The sequence below is a fragment of the Homo sapiens genome, chromosome 12 (genome assembly GCF_000001405.40).
Source record: "Homo sapiens chromosome 12, GRCh38.p14 Primary Assembly".
NCBI classification, from domain to species: domain Eukaryota; kingdom Metazoa; phylum Chordata; class Mammalia; order Primates; family Hominidae; genus Homo; species Homo sapiens.
Genome location: NC_000012.12, coordinates 3,574,328 through 3,595,904, shown reverse-complemented (window position 1 = coordinate 3,595,904; position 21,577 = coordinate 3,574,328). Strand labels below are relative to the sequence as shown.

General features: G+C 49.1%; 1 protein-coding gene across 7 annotated transcripts in view, besides 1 other annotated feature; it reads right to left on the bottom strand.

Annotated features, from left to right (window-relative positions):
• Nucleotides 1-1,931: 1,931 nt before the first annotated feature.
• PRMT8 (protein arginine methyltransferase 8) overlaps nt 1,932-21,577 on the bottom strand; it is a 212,625-nt gene continuing 192,979 nt past the window's right edge. For 5 of the 7 annotated variants that reach the window (NM_001256536.1, NM_019854.5, XM_017019644.2 and 2 more), the window contains 4 exons: nt 18,919-19,034; nt 12,697-12,847; nt 3,553-3,674; nt 1,932-2,806 (listed from right to left, as the gene is read on the bottom strand). In NM_001256536.1, the coding sequence (NP_001243465.1) occupies nt 2,723-2,806; nt 3,553-3,674; nt 12,697-12,847; nt 18,919-19,034 (473 nt within the window). In that variant the 3' untranslated portion in view covers nt 1,932-2,722. Of the gene's footprint in view, nt 2,807-3,552; nt 3,675-12,696; nt 12,848-18,918; nt 19,035-21,577 lie in introns of those variants that run through there. The other 2 variants (XM_047429157.1, XM_047429158.1) reach the window with 2 other exon arrangements.
• Nucleotides 15,901-16,400: an enhancer, noted in NCBI's record as "H3K27ac hESC enhancer chr12:3688671-3689170 (GRCh37/hg19 assembly coordinates)". NCBI's record gives its function as "activates a minimal SCP1, AML or CMV promoter by ChIP-STARR-seq in naive H9 embryonic stem cells {active_cell/tissue: H9 hESC(naive)}" and the evidence as "EXISTENCE:reporter gene assay evidence [ECO:0000049][PMID:30033119]".

Below are 21,577 nucleotides of genomic sequence, written 5' to 3'. Positions count from 1 at the left end.
AGCAAGTGCTGGGTCAGCTGCCACTCTGTTACCAGCCACCCGCACCCTGCTCTCTCCAGGCAGGTCTCCGCCCTTGGAGCTTGTGGTTTAGGAGGGGAGAGAAACCATGCCTCCGTGGACTTCGGAACAAGCACAGAGTGGCCTCTGTACAGACAAGCCCAGATGCAATCACAAAAGAGGACCACATTTTGGGAGAAGGGAGTTGGGAATAGAAGGGCAAAGTTCCCCAGAGCAGGGGAAGAGTGACAGGCGAGAAAGTCTCTAAAGGGTTTTGTACAGCCTCAAAAATGTAAAAGAGGCAAAGAGTCGAGGAAAAAACAGGTTTTATCAGTGAAGTCATCTTTATAGCATCTCTGTTGTCATTCGAGACCGCATCTCATGCACTGACTTCCATTCAGAGGCTGTTCAAAGCAGAGATTGCTTATTTCCCACTGAATCGGAGGGAAATAATTCCCACTGGAGCATTCGCCTGAGCAGGTGGGAGGAGGCTGCTGTGGAATTGATCCCTTATGCATTACAGGCTTCCCTTCTGCAGCCCAGGGGCAGGGAGGGGTGGTGGTGGGGCAGCCCAGGGCTTGTACCACTCCAGAAAGCTAAAGATGGGGGTGGGTGCAGGATAGGCCCCTGGGATGGCCCTCTTCTCCTCTGATGGTCAGAGAGGCCCGAAAGATTGCTGGGCCTTTGCTCATTCTGGTCCTCCCCTAAGCCTCCTGCCCCAGCAGCCTCCCCAGGTCCCAGAGTGTCAGGGATGCCTGCAGGACCCAAATGCCTGGAGCTCCCAGGAGGCCATCATCTTGACCGCTCCACTGGGCTCCTGACAATGTGGGATTTTGCTGGTTGACCATGGATGGGATCCTACACCAGGTTGAATGAGCTTCCTGCCCAAAGTTAAACCAGGTCAGTAGGCAGAATCCAGGGGACCCCAACTCTCACTACAATGGAAACCAACTCCTGAGTTCTCGAATGCCCCCGAGGGAGTCCCCACTCCAATGTCCTCCTTCAATCTCCTCTCTCCTCTAATACACTTGCTTCTGTGCCCTCTTAAGTTTCTCTATTTTTCTTCCCAATACATGTACACAAAAAGCATTAAATAATTTTCACTGTGTTTTTCTCTAGGTATAAAAAAGACAGTCTTAGCCTCTGGGCCTGAGGCTTGGAAGAATCAGTGCAGGGCAGGGGAGGGCACATTAACTGGGACTTGAGACCTTGGCCCACCTCAGCTAGCAAATGGCTGGGGTAAGGCCTCTGCGTGTAACTCCCAAGGCTTCATGGAATTGACAGAGTCCATGGACATCAGAAGTTTATGGAAGTGCAGAGGCCATTGCTATTGGGTTCAGTTATCATTATCCAGGGGCTCTGCCATCACCAGCACTCCCCAACCACGCAAAGCCAGGCCCGAGGTCTCCCCTGCATCTTCCTTCTTCCTGGATCCCATCAGCTCCACCCATCATCTCTAAATGGCCCCTCTTCCTTCCCCCACCTGGAATGTCTCTTCCCAGGTAGGTGACATAGATGAGAATCATGGTCTTGGAAGCTAAAGCATAGCCCAAGACCAGACCAAATCAAAACACTCCACCACGCCCTGCAAAGTACATTGCATTTCCATCCTTCACAGATTCCGCTGTTACCACGCCCGGACCAAGGCTGGACATTATCCTAAGCAGTCTCCAGGCTATGCATGGCCTGCCATTCTGGCACACTCTTGGTTAGCTCCTGTCCCCCACCCCAGCTCCATGACCTCCTTACCCTCTAAGGTAGGACCCCTCAGAGTCCATGGGGGAGATGCTCTTAGACCAGCCCTGACCTCCCTGCTGGGGAGCAAACGTGAACCCACGTAGGTGCTGCTGCCCTTGAGTCTCCACTCCATCATGGCCTCTGGCTTCCCCCCAGCCCTCCCACTTCACAGCACCAGGAACCAGCCATCCCACCAGTTTGTTCTCATGTGTGTTTATTGAGCGCCCACGGAGTCCGTGGTACTATGCTCAAGGTTCAGAGCCACAGTCCAGTCAAAAGGAGACCAGAACTAGTACAGAGAATGTTTCATAGCTGCTTAACATCTGGTAAGGGGTGGGGAAGGGGCGAACTAATCACAAAACAAATTCCTATTCAAAAGCAACAGAATCTCCTCTGAGAGTAATATATATTCTAGGCACACGCGCACGCACACACACACACACCCCTCTGAGAGAACACCTAGGTCTACCCACTTGGTTGTATATGCACGCATATACAGGTGTTTGTGGGTAAATATCAACTATGCTGCTCACATTCACACATGCACGCACACGCACACCACCGCACACACAGATAATCTGGCTTATGCTATCAAAGATGCTATGTCTCCAGGTTCTAGTGGAAGCAATCTGTCCTAGACACCCGCAGCATGCAAAACTCAGAAGACCCGGAGAGTCACAGTTAAGGAGGAGACGGGGAGACGCGAATACGTTTCCACCCTCGGGGCCCAGCCACAGCACGCCAGGTCGCTCTTTGTTGGCAACACAAAGCCTTCGTGAAGGGCTACCAGGGCAGAGCGGAGGAGCTGGAGGCCTTCTGTCCAGTGGCAGAGCCCACGGGAGCCCTGGGGAGTTCACCAATCTTCAAGGCAGAGTTGAAAACTCTGGTTTTCAAGTGTGTAGTCCTGCAAACGGTATTCTTTGGGACGGCACGGCAGATCGAGGTGAGAGTTCCTTTTCTCGTTGCTCTCTGCAGCTTCCCACGTGTGCTAACGCATTTTGTAGTCATTAGATACAGATGTTTCACACAGCTGTCCCTTAAAATCCAAGTCTACTGTGAAATCGAGGTCTCGCTGCAAGGCAGAGAGAGAGCGAAGGGTCAGGCGGCCGTCTGGGTATGAAGCCACAGCCCCACTCTCTGGCACCACCTGCTCCTGGAACCACAGGGATGGGTAGCACCAGCGTCTTAAGGCTTTCTGGCTAAGGGGTTCCCCTGAACAGCCCACAGGAATCCATTCTGCTGCCTCCTTGTCCTCACAGGAAGTTCTTCCATTTCTCCCTAAATCCTTCCTGCTCTAATAACAAAACGTTCCGAGTTCGTCCTGGAAGTAAACTGATTGGGGTGGTTAAGTGTTCTGTGAGGTGACCTTCAGAGCACTCTGCAGACGTTTTTAGCGCTCATGCCCACACCTGGGGCTGCCCCGAAAGTGCCAGCAAGTCTCCCTCGCACCAGGCCAGCTGAAGAAATGCACGCCAAACATCCTCCAGCCACCAGGAGCTTATCTCCTGGCCCAGCTCTTACTAAATGAGGTAGGACCCATTTATTTGAAAGCCCCTCACAGGAAGAGCTGGAAGCTGTCTTCAAAGCCAAGGCAGTCCAGAATTGGACCCAGGGAAAACCTCTATTTGCGGAGTTTTGAGGGGTCAAGCCTGAGTCCCTCAATTAGGCCTAGTCATGTCCACATGTGGCTACCGACTGCCTGCCTCAGTAAGTTTCTGACTGTTCATGAGACACTTAAGAACCCGGGCAAGTGGGTCCTGAGCGAGCCAGCTCTGTGGGGCCCTTCTCCCTTATGTCCTTATGTCCCTCGGCACTTACCACATTTTTGGCATTTGGCTTCATGGATATGGTCCCGTAGATTTCCTCCCCCCTCCGGACAGTGAGGTAATCTTCCAAGTAGAAGACGGTCTGCTTCCAGTGGGTGTAGGGAGCATCAGGGGCTGAGGGGTGAGAGAACAGGGGAGGTGGGAAGAAAGAGTCAGAGACGAAGTCTCCAAAGGGATGAGGCTGGGACCCTGCATAGAAGTTGCTGGGCTTCCCCTGGGACTCACTGAAACCACCCACCCCAGTACTCTTGTTGGGTCAGGTGCATAGTCCTTATAGCCTTCCTCCAAGCCCCATCAGAACTCCCTCTCAGTCCCAGTGGCCTCTCCTCCCATCACATCCCCATCTCCTCAGTGCTGGGGATCAGAAGACAAACAACCCGATACTACAAGTTCATAGCAAGGGATGGATGAGGAATACCCTGTCACCCACTAAATGCATGGACATACATGCATCTGAACATGCTGCTGTTTTTAATTAGTTCAACAGAATGAAGATCTTCAGACAGTATGGGGAAGAGATTTGTAGAGTAGGCCCTCCTATCTCCCCTTAAATGACATCATTCATGCAAACTCCACAGCTAAACCAGTTTCCCCAGATCCACTGATATGGCAGGTACTTGGTCCTCAATCTTACAACTAGCTTTTCCTGCTGGGCACACATAGTGGCTCATAGCTGTAACCTCAGCTACTCAGGAAGCTGAGGCAGGAGGACTGGTTGAGCCCAGGAGTTCAAGACCAGCCTGGGCAACATAATGAGAAAACTAGGCGAGTGTGGTAGCACACATCTGTGGTCCCAGCTACTCAGGAGGCTGAAGCAGGAGGATGCATTGAGCCTGGGAGTTCAAGGTTGCAGTGAGCTGTGACTATACCACTGCACTCTAGCCTGGGTGCAAACCAGTGAGTGAGACCCTGTCTCAAAAAAAAAAAAAAAAAAAAAGAGCTTTCCCTGCCTGCTTCTCTGTGCACGGGGAACTAAACCTAGCACCTTGGCCCAGACCTGCTGTAGGGTTTCAGGTGTATCTTCCTAACCAGATCAGAAAGAAATGAGGGATGGTTCTTGTTCCACAGCCCTAATGCTGGCCCACAGCTCATTCATCCTGTATGACCCAAAGCCATAGTGGTACTTGCGCCTCCCCCATATCTGCCATTGAGTCTCTTCCCTCCCCTCTCAGCACACGATATATTCTCCAGTTAAATGTGAGGAGTTCTGCCTCAGAGGCCACCGTCCTTGCCAGCAGCTGTCTCTGAAATCCTTCCTCTCCCTCCTTTCCAGCCTCTCTCTTCCTCATCCTTCCTCTGGGAAGCCTTGCCTGACCCGCAAAACCTGGACTGAGAGCTCCCAAGGCACCCTGAGCTCCTGTTATTGCGGTGCCTGTCACACAAGATAAATGCCTTCCCCCCATCCCCGTTTGTCTGCATCCTCCATGGACTGCAAGCTCCATGAGGGCAGGGACCGGGCCAGCCTTGCTTCCTCGGTGCCTGCCTCTGTGCTTGGTAGATCTACGAGTATTGAATAAATGAATGATGGTAAGAACCCAAAGAGCAAATGTCTGTAGTGCTTCAATGTACTCGTACTGGAGTTCAATGTACTCCAGTTACCCTGGGGGCCTTTGGAATCTACAGACTGCAGAAGAACCCATCTTATTACAGGAAGTTCCTCTTGGTTTGGGCTGTTGCATTCCTCTACCAGGATTTCTTTTTTTTTTTTTTTTAGGACTAAGGATAAAGATGAGAAGACTTGGGGATAAGATAAGGGTCTTCAAAACACTTCAAAAGCTGTCACATGGAAAGACTTACATGTGGCCTTATCATGGCTTTGGGGGCAGAACAAAGGCTAGTCACTAGGCATGATTAGAAGGCAGATTTTTAATTTACCAAGAATTAGAGCTGTCCCACAATCATATGAGCCACCTGAGGTCCACCCTGGCAGGTGTTCACACAGCGCCAACTGGGGCTTGATCATGCACTGACTCAGACCAGGTGACCTCTAAGAGCTTTCAAAACCCCAAGGCCAATTTTAACAGCACTGAAGAGTCTGTCTTTCTCTGCCCTTCACAATGAACTGGCTTGATCAAATGTCAGTGGTTTGGAGAGAGACTCAAGTAGCCCTCCGTGTGTGCATTTGGGAAATCGATGCAAACTCAAGGTCATGGGGAGAAAGTGCAGCCTGCACATTTGGAAAGGGAAGGAGGATCATGAATGTGCAGTCTATCCCTTTCAGACCCTGCCTGGGTTCCTGAACACATCCAGCCTTTCTGGCCTTCAGGGCATACTGCTGTCTGCAGACAAAGTCCACCTGCTCCCAACAACCATCTCTCCCAGCTACCTCTAAATAGTCAAAAGATAGTTCCTGGTTATGTGTGGAGACTGTCAGTGTATGACTGACAGCACTCTCGCCCCCACTTCCACCTACACCAGCTCAGACAGGTGTCTCTCTCCTGTTCCTAAAGACCTTCAGGCAAAGGGATTTCAAGCAGCCTCCTTCTGTCACCTAATCCGATGCCTTATGAGACCCCCAGAGACTTCCTGGCCCAGATTTGTCAGCCATGGGGTCTGCCTCTGATGGTAGTCCCCAAAACATGCCGACTTTGAGTTGGAGGAAGATGATTATTTTCCTTGATATCAACATCAAAGGGTTAAGAACATCCATAAACATCTCGTTTCCATGATGGGCCCATTAGCCATGGAGTAATTGTCTAAACCAGTTTTCCCAATCCTGATTCTCCATCAAAGTGCCCAGGAGAAGCTGAGTAAAAGTCAATGTTTTGATTCTACTCCAAGAGATTTGAAGTCAGTAATTCTGGGGGGCGTGGAGGGGCAGGTGACGTAGACACACAGCCATGGCTGAATCGCAGTGCATCTCCTGACCTCCTTTGGGAAGGTAGAGTGGGAAAGACATTAATTAGGTGACAATAGCCCCGTGTCCAGTGTCCACTTTGCCACTGACATGCGATGTGACCTGGGGCTCCTTTTCCACATCTGCAGAATATGGCTCATGATATTCACCTCCTGACGTATTGTGAGGATGAGATGAGATGAGAAAGGGAAAGGATCATAGACTAAGGGTGATCAAACCTCCTGCTGTGCCTGGGACAGTTCCAGTTCACATCTGTTTTCCTGGCATAATGATTAATAGGTCTCCCTTTCACCTGCATACGTGTCCTTAATGGAAAGATGCGTTACATGGCCACCCTACCTAAAACATATTAGGCCCATGTTAGGGACTTACTAAGCCATTGCATCAGGCAAGTCTTTGGTCATTAGAGTGGTATATGATTTTATTAGTCCATCAACTATGGCTCTGGTCTGCAAAGATATGCCGCCTCTCTCTACTGGTGGAGAATGTCTTGGAAAACATCCAGAATGTCACCGTGCACAAGGGTGGGCGCTCAGGAAAGGGTTGTGGACAACATCTAGAGTTCTCCTTGTCAGGGAGGAAAGCTTTCCCTTCCCCTGCCCCAACCCCATCTATGACCATCCAGATTGTACAACTGGCTTTCAGCCTTCCCCATTCTGAAGATGCCTCCCTGCTCTTAGCATTCTGGCCCCACATACCCCTTTTCTCCCTCCCACAGTTCCCTTCCCCATCACAGTCTCTCTGATTCTAGGCTTTAGGCAGCTTTTCTTCTACATTTTGAAGTGAGCATGACCAGTACTGCCTGCAGCATTCCTAGTGCAGTGCATTCATTCACCATTCCACAGACTTCCACTTAGGATGCCTGCCACAGGCCGGGTATGGCTGTAGAATTGGGGAACAGCAAACGGGATGAACACCACTTTGTCCCCTCCTCCCCCGATCATACAGCCTCAGTGAGAAGACATTCAGGCAAATAGTGAGAAGTAGGGTGGGCACTATGACCAAGGATGGGGCTTGGGAACACAGGGAGCTGAGGGTACAAATGGCAGGGACTGGCCTCTCACCAGAGTTTTCCTGGTGCTTTTGGAAAGGGAATGGAATCCTGCTTCCCATCTCACTGACCAATGGCTAAGTGGCTGGTCGTCCTTTCTGGGATATAATTTTTCTAGCTGTAAGTTTGGAATTATATTCTCTAGAGAATTCATAGGCCTTTTGGAGAATTGAGGACTATGCACCAAGAAGCTTCTTTAATGTGGGAAAATGACTCAATGTCACAGGATGTCAATGGCAGAAAGGAGCTGCCTGAGCCCAAGGCGCAGAAAGTAAACTTGCCCAAAGTCCTTTCCAATGTCTGATCTGCCTACCTTGCTGATACCTGAAAAAACCAGGGCTTGCACCCAGGCCTGCTTCTGCTGGGGCTCCTGCCCTTCCACCTGCTACCTGGCTTTCCTGGATTACACAGCAGCCCCAGGGGCCCCAGTTCCCACTTCTACCCCCACCCCACTGAGGATGTGTTGTGGTGGGGGGGGCACCGTGCCCACTGGCTGCCACAGCCTGGAACCCTGGCTGTCTGTGCCTATTTGTGACAGCTTCTGCCTGGAGCTGCAGAGACGTCAGAGTCATTAGAAGGGATCATTTTTCAGGCTGTGCGGTATGGGATGTGTTTCTAAGTGGCCCGCAGAGCGCGCTACCACTGGGCTGAGAACAGAAGACTCAGTTGGGGGTTGATGCAGAGGGACCACACACAGCAGGCTACACTTTGCATCAAGTTCAAAAACAGCTGAGACCAAACAATACCTTGTTTAGGCACACACATCCATGTGATAAAACTTTTCATAAATAGCAAGGGAATAAGGAACACAAAATTCAGGATAATGTTCATCTGGAGGCGATACGGGAGGTGGGATGGGGTGGGGCATCCAGGAAGATGCAGAGGTGTTGGCAGCATTTCAGTCATTGAGTCAGGGCATAGCTCGAATCAATAAGTGTAAGCAAATTAATGCAAATATGCATTAATTGATTTACATTTAATTATAATTATATTACAGTTATTACCATGTCTTTCTAGTCAATATTTATATTTTAGTTAAAAACAATTTATTTTTAATATTAACTAATGTATTTACCTTCTAATAGTAATACTAATAAATTTATTAGTATTTATTAATTTATTTTGTTAGTATTTATTAATTCATTCTAGTTACTATTTACATTCTAGTTAATAGTAATTAATTTATATTCTAGTTGCTGAGTTATGTGGTGAGTTCATGGATATTCATTATATTAATATATAATATAATTATATATAATTAATATATAAATTAGCAAAAAAAGTGAACCATGAATGGTCCAATAATGACATATGGCATGAGCCAAGAATTAGGATTAATCTAAGTCTGTGCATCTGAGATCCATAAAAACAGAAAGGGTTACTCGGTCAGTTGTCAGAATATAGATGGTCTGAGTATACCCCACTGCTAACCCACATGAACTGGGAAAGAAGTTTGCTACCTGCTAGAAACAGAGCCCCCACGCTGACACGCGAAGGTGGCTGAGAAAGCAACTCAACAAAGTATTCTCCCACCCCCATTGCTACCCATATAGGCATGTGCCAAGAAGAGGGATCTACGTCAGCCAGAAAGCAAAGAGTCTTGGTGAGGCCTGAGGGTATACCTGAGTGAGGAGATGGAATAGCCTTTCCAGAAGAAAGTCAACATTGGTCAAATTCTCAACCCTCTGGTTCAGGGCAGTCTTGCACAGAGGCAGTGGTCCTTAAGCTGGAGCATGCATCGCAATCACCTGGAGGTCTTGTTAAGACACAGACGGCTGGCCCCCACCCCCAGAGTTTCTGATTCAGGAGGTCCAGGGTGAGGCTCAAGAATTTGCAATTCTAACAATTTCCCAGGTGATACTGGTGTTACCCGTCCAGGAACCACACTTTGAGAACCACTTCCCCAAGGCATGACAAACTGGAGACTGTAGGACCTCCAAATGTCTTTCAGAACCTAAGTTTGTAGAATTCTGTGCAAAAGGGAGGAGGCATAACACTATAATTGCAAAAAGAGGAGTAGGCTCACAACTGGGTTTAGATCCTTGGTCTTTGAGCCACGTAGGACTGTGGTGGGGGTGTGACCAAAGACTAGGAAGGAAAGCCACTGGGTTAGAGCCTTCAACACTCAGGGCAAATCCTCGCCATCTTTCAGGCAGCCCAGAGCCGATGTCTTGATTCTGGATGTGAGCTTAATCCAGGCTCCTCCACATGGGACCATGAAGAATGTCATCCCTAACACCCCAGAGCCAGGGAGCCATCTCTAGACAGGGTCCAGCAGGCTGTCTGCTTGACTTTGGAGACTAGAAATATTAATAGATCATCTCAAGGAAAATAAAACTATGGCTGAGAGCTGCAGGGATAGAGCCTGGGGTTTGGAAACTTAGAACTTTTCCCAGAGCATCCTTGCCCATGGACTTTCTCATCAGCAGGGCAGGCTCTGGGTTAGACATCATCCTGGTGATGGAATAGGCAGAGCCAGCTCCTATGACTTCATCCTTAGCTTCCAATCACAGCCACTGTCCCCAAGAAGGCTCCTCCCCAGCTCCCTCACTACCCCTACTCTCACCATTGCTAGGCACAGTCTTCCCAATCCTTCAAGATCAAAGTAAAATCCACCTTCCCCCTCCTGGCTGCTCCTGCCCACTGGGAAGACATGTACTGCTCCTGTGAGGAGGGCAGCAGCTGATAATGACCCAGATCAGGGCAGGAAAGCACCAGCACTGCCTGGCTGACGGAGACCAAAAGTCCCAATCTTAGTAATCAGGAGGCACTGGTTCTGGGAAAAGCCTTTCTATGAAGAGATAAATCTGTCTCTTGCCCTCTCTTTCCATAGGTAAAAGAGAATCATTGAGACCAGCCTGGGCAATGAGGCAAGACCCCATCTCTACCAAAAAAAAAAAAAAATTAAAAAGTATCCAGGCATGGTGGCATGTGCCTGTAGTCCCAGCTACTTGGGTGGCTAAGGCAGGAGGATCGCTTGAGCCCAGGAGGTCAAGGCTGCAGTGAGCTATGATTGTGCCACTGCACTCCAGCCTGGGAGACAGAGTGAGACCTTGTCTCTGAGAAAAAAAAAAAAAAAAAAAAAAAAAAAGCATCATTTTCTTCATGGCTTCTGGAAGTAAAGAATCATGTCCTCGATTTCTGGTAGAACTCACCTTCCCACTCCCCCTACTAGACATACAACTACTCACCTCCTCACCCCCTGATGACATGCTCCCAATTCCCAGGAAGACTCAATAGGAACACATTCTTAAGGGCAGGGGTCATATCATCATACACTTCTTAGAGCAATTTGTTTAGAACTGTGCTTTAGAAGACAGGAATGCAGAGATCACTGAGATATGATCCCTACTCATGCAGGAGACTGACAGTTGCAAGAAAGGGTGAAAATGCTGAATAAATAATGGCAAGCCCTGTGTTGGAATCCTGTGTGGTTGTTTAAAAAAAGAAGCTAGGTATCTCTGTGAGGCTATGAGAGTATCACCAAGATAACGTTGTTAAATAAAGAAAAGGTAGCTGAGGGCAGTGTGGAGGGTAGGATCCAACCTAAGTTTTTTTAAAAAGGTGTAGTTTTGATATTGTACTATGCTTACGTAAGACACCATCAATGGGGCAGCTGGGCAAAGGGTTCACACAACTCTGTGTACTATTTTTACAACTTCCTGTGAATCTATAATTATTTCAAAATAAAAAGCCAAAAAAGAGGCATCTATGGATATGCATGTGCTTGTGCACTCACTGAAATTTGGTGGAATGATACAAAAGAAATCATTAATAATAATATTTGCCTCTGAAGAGTGGGAGTGGGATGGGTTGGGGGTGAGAATGCTTTCTTTGACTTTTTATACTCTTTTGTCCTGATTTCTTCTTGCTGTTGTGCATGTGTCTCACTTGAAACATCACCATGCCAGGCACATGCACGAGATGTTAGGTTCACCCTGAGGACATCGAACCTTGACCCAAAGGGAAAGCGGGGATCAGGTAACCCCTGAGCTGAGACAGGAAACCAGGTGAAGAGATGGCTCAGGGGTGGTGTTACCACCTGAATTGTCCCCCCCTCCAAATTCATGTTGAAGTCCTAATCCCCAGTACCTGAGAATGTGACTGTATTTGGGAAAAGGGCTTTAAAAGAGGTGATTAACTTCATCCAATCTGACTGGTGTCCTTAGAAGAGGCAATTAGGACACACATAGAGCCACCAAGGGCTCATGAGCACAGAGGAAAGACCACGTGAGGACACAGTGAGAAGGTGGACAACTACAAGGCAAGAGGAGATCCCTCACCAGAAATCCACCCTGCTGACACCTTGCCTTTGGACTTCCAGCCTCCAGAACTGCATGTGTGGTTAAGCCCCCAAGCCTGGGTATTTTGTTATGGCTGCCCTCACAGACTGATACAGGAGAAGAGGGGATGATGAGAGCCTCTGACTAAGGCCCCTCCCACCTCCAGGGCACACCTGGATAGGCAAGGGCTGGTGTGTGTAGAAGCCATGGCCCAGAGAATGAAGAGGCCTCACTGAGTTTAGAAGTCAGCAAGGAGCTCGGTGTAGCTGGGCCACCTGTGGGGTAGCAGCGACGGGACAGGGCTCGGCCAAGAGGGGTGGTGAGGAATGAGGCTGGAGAGTGGGCCAGGGCCAGGCCATGGGATCCCCATTTGCCAGGCTTATCTACTGCAGGCAGCGAGGCACCTCGTAAGCGGGGCTGGGATTTGGGAGTGGGAGTAGCAGTGGGGTGATCTTGGGGGAACACCAACAGAGATTTAATGAAGGATGGGTTGGTGTGAAAGTAAGGGAGAAGGGAAGGAGACATAGAGACCAGTGTGCAGGCTGCTGCAAGACAGGCTGTGTCCTGCACAGAGGCATGGCAGTGCAGACTAGGCTTATTCAACTCCATCCATACCCACCACACAGAATGTGCTCAGAAAATGCTACCTGAACAAATATGCCTTTGAAAGGGCTTGGGGCCCCTCCATGAGCCCTACCTCCTGCCTCTCCCTCATCCAACACACTCTCAACTTGTGCTGTAACAACCACAACATTATTTACCTTCTCCTTGGACAGCACAAATATAGGGATGCATGGTTCCTCCATGGCTGGAGAGGGTTGATAGGTGTCACCCAGCTAACACCCAGCCCCTTCTCCCCAAGTCAAGGCCAGCTCTGGTCACCCCACAAAGACTTGAGGAAGCATGGGAGAGGGAGGAGGCTCTGGGAAGCAACAAACAGCTCACCTGTGGAAAACCCCATTTTCTTGTGGCACTTGGTAAATTCAATATTAAAATAGGTGACCAGGGCGTGGACGTAGTCGTTGCGCTGTATCTGCAGGCAGAATGCAGATGTGAACGATAGCTCTTCCGTCTTCACTGTGTAAATGTCCACCTCCTGCAGCCCAGAGAAGAGAGAATGCCGGGAACTTATCGCCTCCACCAAGTCTGGGTCCCGGTCAGCAGCCTCGTTCTGTGAGAGACTGTGGTCTGTCAGCTCTCTGAGGGATATCTTTATTCTTGGGGTGATTTCCCAGGCTCCCCACCGCCCTCCCAATCACCTCCTCCATCCTTTCTAGGGTGGAGTGTGCTCAAGCAATGGTGCAAATGGATTTGAATCAAAACCTGAGGGGAGCAGAATTCGGAAGATAAATCTTCCAGGGTTTGGGGCTACAGGGGGATGATGGGGAAGGGAGAGAACAGGAGGGTTAATTAGACAATGCATCCCTTCACCTGTCAGAGCAGCCTCGAGTGGTCCACCCAGGCACTGCTCCATCCATCGCTCTTAAAATGTGGTCCCTGAAATATCAGCATCAACAGTACCTGGGGGCAAATTCTGAGGGGGGCAGACCTGCTGGACCAAAACAGCAATCTGTGTTTTATCAGGCCCTCCAGTGATGTAGATGAACCAGACTACTCCTTCCCCAATTTTTTGATACGCAAGTTCCCAGCAATAGGAGGCATCAAGGATGACATTAGGAGTAAGGACCTGAGCCCACAAAGTCACAGACAGAGCTTAGGAAAGTTCTGCTGGCCATTTTTAACAAGGCTGGACTGTTTTCAAAAATAAATAAAAGGGGAAAATAAGAAGTGAGAATTTTCAGTTCTGGCTGGGGAACGTGGAACATGAAGAACTAATAACTCTTAAGAATTTCAACTGGAAAGTGGCTGAAAATCAATCTCGCATGGGGAGCAGGTGGAATTGAAAGACGTCTGCACTGTGCTGTTCTTTTCTATGGAAGAATGCTGGCCTGCTGCTTGCTGGCCCCGTGAGGCAGGGCAAACCTACTAGGGCCCAAGAGGCATCCTGACAGATTCTAGTGAGGCCCAAGGAAGAACTTCCCATTAGTCAAGGTTGCGCAGCAAGGACCTCTGTCCTGAAAACTCTGTAAGAGCCAGAAGGCCATCTGTATGCCTGGTTGGTTCCACAGGGACCTCCTGAGGCCTGGAAGATGGAATTATTAGTAGGAATTAGGAGAGAGGGACCAGAGGGTAGGAAAACAAGACCAGCAAAGCGATGAAATGGCTTTTGTCTCAATGTATTTCCAGGATAAATAAAGGAAAAACAGACGCAAACTATCCTGGGGCCTTCAAAGAGAAGTCCTAACTCCACAGGGATGGACAGAGAAAAAGTGGTTAAGGGAACCAATGAGATCAGAGTCCTCCTAGGATCTGGGGTGTGTAGCCATGACATCTTCTGTGGAAGCTGAAGCTCTCTGACTGTTGATTGGGAAGAAGGTGAGATTGTAGGTTTAGGGGAATGTGGGAGGCCCTTGGTGAGGTCACATTCAAATGCCAATTACACTGTGTTTCTAGAGCCCAGAGAAGGGGAACAAGAACTAATTGAATGGTGAGCCCTTGGTCAAGCATGCAGAATTTGATGGGATTATAAAGCCCATCTTCTTAAGCTGAGCCTTTTATCCAAGGCAAGAACCTCCTCTTTAGTGGCCATCTAGTGCTTGCTGAGCACCCACCTAGTGCTTGCTGAACACCTTTAGGGATGGAGAATTCACCATCTGCCAGGCAGATCAGTCCACGTCCTGGCATCTCCAGTCATTAGGTCCTTCTTCAAAACTAATGAAGAAAGTTCACACTCATCCCTCTGTAACTTCCACCCACAGAAGAAGCCAAATGTGTGTTCCAATTCACACAGGTCCCTTAAACCTTTTCTTCTCCAATGCAAGCTATCTCTGGCTTTTTATTCATTCCTCATAAGTCGTGATGTCTGACCGCTCATCACCCTGGCCTTTCTCCTCTGGGTGGGTCCTGCCACTTGCAAAACTGAGAGTTATACTGACCACATCAGGTCCTCCACGTCCTTCCATTGGCACATACTTATAGCAGCCTGTGTTCCCAAGGAGCACACTGCTGGTTCAGCTTGCATTTAGGTCGGCCAAGCCCCTTCCTCCACCACATCCCTCAAGGGGAGGGGTCCTTCATTACATGTCATCTGTTAGCGTGGGCCATTGCTCAAATCTAGGAAACGTTTTAGACTGAGTATATGTCAGCCTTCATAATGCTCATTATCCCTCCCAGCCACATGGCCACATGCTGTCCACAGGTGTCCTCCAGCTCAAAAACTCTTCGGACAAGCCTTGGTTGCCTGTATTGTTGTTAATGGCATCACAGTGTCTACCCTTACTGACTTTTCCATCACCTTCTCAGGGCCAATCAGCCAGGCTCCAGGCTCTTTCCAAGGTCCCTGGTATCTTTCTTTCTTGGTTCCCTCCGTCACCAGTGTAGCATGGCCTTCCAATCTCACTTCTGGCTCATATCGCAGTCTCACCACCTTCGCCCTTGCCCTGGCCGATACACTGAAGCCTTCAGTGGCAGAAGTTACACCTCATTGTCCTGTGTATCCTCAGTGCACAGCAGCACCTAATACACAGCAATATGTGTTGACTCATCAATCTTCTTCTCAGAACAGGTCTCCCTGCTTGAAGACTTACTTCTTTGCCTAGGCCCCTCTTTCGTAACTCAGGTTCATCCAGACTGTGTCAGTCTCTGGATCTATAACCTTCAATGATTCCTTATGGCTTACAATCTAGACGTGGTTACTTTCTCCTTCTATCCCGCATGCGCACGCGTACACACACACACACACACACACACACACACGCACACGCACCCCCCATCTGGCAGGAATTCCACCTCTAAAGGATCTTGCTGTCAGATGTCCATCAACAAAATGTCAGCTATCAACTCTTGTAGCTGACAGCTTTCAATAGATCCCTGAGACATTTGCATCTTAATAGAGGCCTCTGATAGAACAAAAGCCTTTAGGACCAAAAGTATTGAAGCCGCACATTATAATGGCAACAATAAGGGCAGGTGGTCTTTTGGAATGGGGGTCCAGGCCATCTGTGAGGATGGGATCAGCTGTAGCTAGGCTTCAAAAACACAAAGGTCCTCTGGGCTCAGGTTCCCCAACCCCCAACCAAATCAGCCCCAGTTACCCTGACTCCCCAGAGCCCAGCCCCTCGACTAGGAGGCTTCCTCTTTTCTGCAGCAGAAACAGCAGCTCTGAGACCCCAGGGAGACCCACTGACTTGGCCTCAGGTGACCCGCTTGAAGCAGAGGGCTTCACCAGCATAAATTACTCAGAAGTGCCCCTGGCCGCTGCGATCCCCACCGTTAAACAATGTTAGAAATGGATGTCTCGGAGCAGAAGTCTGGTTAAAATAGAACCTTAATTATAATAAAGTGTCACACTCTGCAATGTTAATAGCGATGAAAATAGCAATTAAGTGTGTGAAGAAGGGCAAGTGTTTTCCCAACAGGCTCGGCAAGATGTTGCCTAGCACATCAGCAGGAGAGAGCTGGCGGAAGGGCTCTCCTGGAAGCAGAAGCAAACACAGACAATCGTCATCCTTCTCAGGAACACAGAGGAAGAAAGGGACCAGCGTGGGACAGAAAATCATCACAGGTCACGAGTCCTGAGACAGAACCAGAGCCCCGGGAGTTTTCATAAGGAGTGTACGGAACACACACCCCTCCAGCCGCTCCTTGGCTGCTTTGCCCCTGGATATGCTCAGGTCTAACCAACTGAAAGGCCCCTGCTAGTTCTTGCCTGGGGAGTGGAGAGGGCCAGGACAGTGGCTGACGTGTCCGGCAGTGCAAACAGAAATGCAGTGGCTACACCTGCCAATGGGGCCTGGGTCAGGGGCAGAGAGCAACCTGGGGTCCAAGAATATTGAAGGAATTTTATCCCCAAGCTGAAGCCAGTACGTGCAGATGCCTAATGGTAAATATCACTGCCACATGTCATTTTGGCAAATTCAGTTGCACTAGTGGACTTCTATCTATTCTACATTTACAGAAGTGCCTTGTACTATGGGTGAGCTTCTTGCTGGGGGCATACTTTCCTTGTTCTTGTTTAGGATGGCAAGGAGGAAGAGGCTTCAGGGACAGAGGGACTGGTAGAAAGAAACAAAAGGACACATTTGCTCACAATTAATCCTGCCTGGACCCAGAAAAGGCTGAATGAAGTAGTGAGAACCCTGTGAATGGAGAGTCTGAGGCTTAGACTCAAAGCCAAACCTCTCAGGCAGGATGCTACTAAAGAGAGGGGGCATCTGATGGGGTCTGATGAGGTTCATTCTAGGTTTATTTGCCCTGTGAGGACCTTTCTAAAGTCCACAGTGATACTCCAGCCCAACGGGTGCAGTTCTTCCTAGCAAGGCTTGTGTCCAGGACAAAGGACAGTTCTCACATGGGCAAAGCAGCAGTTGTGTCAGTCTTTCAGAAACCTCCCCCACCCCCGTCCTTAGTGGCCCTGAACTCCAATCCCTTTATCCTACTATAAATATTCCAGTCCAGTACCCTGCCCCGATACTTTCAGAAAAAGAATGATGCGTGCAGGAGCACAGTAGGCCGGCATGTTAGCAAGATGAGACTCAGGTGGGCTGATTTTTGAATTTAAAAATTAACCTGGGCTGGGCGTGGTAGCACATGTCTGTCATCCCAGCACTTGGGAAGCTGAGGTGGGTGGATCACTTAAGCCCAGGAGTTTGAGACCAGCCTGGGCAACATGGCCAAACCCCATTAATACAAAAAAAAAAAAATTAGCCATGCCTGGTGGCACGTAGCCGTAGTTTCAGCTACTCAGGAGGCTAAGACAGGAAAATCACCTGAGCCTCAGTGAGGCTGCAGTGAGCTATTATCACACCACTGCACTTCAACCTGGGTGACAGAGAGAGAAAGAGATCCTGTCTCAAAAAAAAAATAGCTTGTGGTACATGAAACTGTTCAGTTAGTCGAGATTGCAGTGAGCTGTGATTGTGCCACTGCACTCCAGTCTGGGTGACAGAGTGAGATTCTGTCTCAAAAAAAATTTTTTTGGCTTGAATTATATGAAATTGATGTCTCTATTTTAAAAAACTGTCAAATATCAATAGTTTTATATGGTTCAACATAATATATTAGCATATATAATGCAAATGCATACAAAAAGGACTGGAAGAGGCAACCCAGCCTGTGAACAGTGGTTACCTCTGGAGGAGGATGGGGCTGGAGGGAGGCGGAGGGCACCTTTCACCTTTATTCTATCTAACTGGACATGTTTGAATTTTTAATAATAAGAATATACTAGGGATTGGTGTGGCAAAGACGCTGAGCAGCTGTTCTTCATCTGCACTGAAGGAAGCCTCGGGCAAAGGTGTTTAGAGCAGGCGTGTCTAATCTTTTGGCTACCGTGGGTCACATTAGAAGAAGAACTGTCTTGGGCCACACATAAAATACACTAACACTAATGATAGCTAATGAGCTAAAAAAAAAATCCCACAAAAAAGTCTCTTAATGTTTTAAGTTTACGAATTTGTGTTGGGTTGCATTCAAAGCCATCCTGGACCACATGTGGCCCAGAGGATGCAGGTTGGACACACTTGGTTTAGAGCATGTACAAACAGGGACGCTCAGGAAGGGGCAGCTGGAAGCTCTATCTGGCAGGCCGCTGGGGCAAAGGTGTATGTGGAGGCGAGAGCATGAACAGGGACGCTCAGGAAGGGGCAGCTGGAAGCTCTATCTGGCAGGCCGCTGGGGCAAAGGTGTGTGTGGAGGCAAGAGCATGATGATGATTACACAGCATACTGAGGTCCTGGATTTCTTCCCTAAGAGAGACGTCTACCTCTGAATGGACCAACTGCCCCAAACCTGAGCACGCTCTCCTCTTCCAGGTGTCCTCTCCTGCAATGCCCCTCTCTTCCCTGCACCCCCACCCTTCTGCACGCCACCAGGGCCCCTGTGCTGGGGCCCTCCCACATCCGTGCCACCATGGAGCCACTCTCTCAGTGGCTGTGTCCAGGCGGACTGCCAGCTTTTGACTTGAGCTTAGGGAGCATCACAGGCTCTGGCCAAGGCAGCCTTGCCTCACCAGGTGGGGGCTGTGCAGGAGCCGGCATTGCCTGGACTCCAGGGTGGCACAGCGGGGCTCCCAGCACACCCAGGTCCACCCCGGATGAGTGTCCAGACCTTTATCAAACAGGCATTGGTCACCACTTGCTTTGGATCCACGATGTCCACTAGAGGCTCCTTCATGGCCACGTCCCGGATGCAGGTCATGTCAAAGCCATAGACATTCTCCCACCCTGTGGGAGCAGAGCAAGACGTGAAGGCAGGCGCAGGACCCCCAGAAGCTCACCCAACCCTCCTGAGTCCTAGAGCACAGCGTGCCTGAGGGCTGAGTGGCAGCTCGAGTTCCCTTGCATCGAAATAGAGGCAGAACTGCTCACCTGGGGGCACTTTGCAATGTGCCAAATGCTCACTCCCATTTCCATTTCTACCTCGGGAAAAGGTAAGTCCCACTTTGTTGTTAGGTAAACTAGAGCTCAGAGAGGCTGGGAAACTGCTCCAAGCTCCTATAGCTAGAGTGCAGCAGGGCAAAGACTAGAACCCAGGCTAGCTGACTCTTCCTTCCTGTCCCCTCCCCAAGCCAGCAGCGTCTCCTATGAACTCCCTTATCTGTCTTCTACGTTCCCATTCCTATGCTGTCTCGAGCTGTTCTCCACACCTAGAAGACCTAGAAGGCCCATCTCTCTCCCTTTTCCTGTCCCCATCCACTGAACCTTTAATGCAGCACAGAGAATCATGGGCTTTTAACGTGAAATCAACTACAGTTTAAATTCCAGCACCACCACTTACTGGTCAGCCTTTGTACAAATGACCTAACCTCTCTGAACCTCAGTTTTCTCACCTGGGTGGGTCCAGGAGCATCTCTGCCTTCCTTGTATGCCAAGATGCACTCACTAAGGATCCACCCCATTAGGAACTACCCCCAAGTGGAGCACAAACCCTCTCCTTGTCAGCCGTGCTCCTTGTCCCCTTTGGGCTACTCATAAGATACTTTGTATGGGAGGGAGAAAGATCTAGGGGGTTGGTGAGAAATTAATTCAAGTCTGATGGCCCAGGATCACCCTTAATATGGTAATAATTGCTATCTTTTTCTTTTTTTGGAGACAGAGACTGGCTCCATCGCCCAGAGGCCTAATCTGGGCTCACTGCAACCTCCGCCTCCTGGGCTCAAGTGGTTTTCCTGCCTCAGCCTCCCGAGTAGCTGGGATTACAGGCACCCGCCACCATGCCGGGTTAATTTTTGTATTTTTAGTAGAGATGGGGTTTCGCCATGTTGGCCAGGCTGGTCTTGAACTCCTGACCTCAGGTGATCTGCCCACCTAGGCCTCCCAAAGTGCTGGGATAACAGGCATGAGTCACCATGCCTGGCCAATAATTGCAGTCATTGATTGATCAGTCAGTCCAGGCCAGACTCTTCATTTAATCTACCCAGCAACCACATGAGGATATTGCTATGCTGCAGATGAGAAAACTGTGGCTGGGAGAAGTTGGCATCTGGCTCTCATATAATATCTGGCCCATGATCACACATCAGGGAAACAGGGGGGCGAGGGCTCAAGCCCAGCATGTCCCCTAAATCCTTCACCTGCCATGGCCCAGCCGTGACAGCAACCAGGAATGCAAGATTTCTCTCCCTACAGTGCAGAGAGGACAGCTTTAGCAGACTCTTTAGTTTCCGGGCACCTGAATCTCATTCATCTGTTTTTTCAATGGGTTTCAAAATGCCTTGAAGTAGAAATGCTTTTCTCTAAAATCTTACAGGATTAAATTTTATTTTAAAACATTCACCAAACAAACAGGACCTTAGGGAACGTATGTTCCTGTGTGTGTTTAGGAGAGTGGGTGTGTGCGGCAGGAGGTGTGAACGGTCAGCGACAGCTTTTCTCCTTTGACTCTGATTCTTTTATAAGGCACACAAAGAGCTTCTTTCTTGCGAAAAGAAGGCAGAGAAGGTAATCCCAGAGGATGAGTGCTTGTGAAATTCCAGTTTGAGGAAAAGATGCCCATCAAATCCCATTAAATCACCCGAGGCTGGTGCCAAACTCCCAATTAAAACCTACTTCGTGGGGAGGAGGCTGCTTAGTTGGCAACAGGGCAGGTTTCAGAGAAGACTCCCCTCTAGAATGTGGAAATAGCTATCCACCCTCTCCCCAGATAAAACGTACACGCCAAAACACATTGCCTTCTGTGTCTTTCTCAAGAGACTTGCAGCTATGCACCTGCTCTTTTCTCCCTGGACTCTGCCGGGAGTTTGAGTTCACTGCTAGTGCTAAGCAAAAGCCTGAGAGTCAATGCATGTAATGGTTAAAGGCCTAGGCTTTGGAGTTCAAATCTGAGCTCTGCCACGTATTTGCTGTGTAATCTTAGGCACGAATATAACCTTTCTAAGCCTTGGTTTCTAAGGATTCTGTAAAATGGAAATGATGATAAAGATGGTAATCCCATACGATTGCTATGAGGATTAAATGTGATTATACGTAAAGTGCATAAGACATTGCCTGGCACACAGAAAGCACTTGATACATAAAAGTGGTTATCATTATGTGGTTTGAGCTCTGGCTTTGCTGCCATGCAAGCTGTGCGGCCATGTGCAAATCAATCCTTTTTTCTGGGCTTACTTATAAGGATTTTGGTTCAGTGGTTCTGTGTTCTCGAATCACTTGGAACAGTTTTTAAAATGCAGACTCCAGGGCCCACGCCAGACCTACTGAATCAGAATCTCCAGATTTGAGAGCCAGGGAGCTGGAGTTTTACAAATCTATACAGACAATTCCAACCA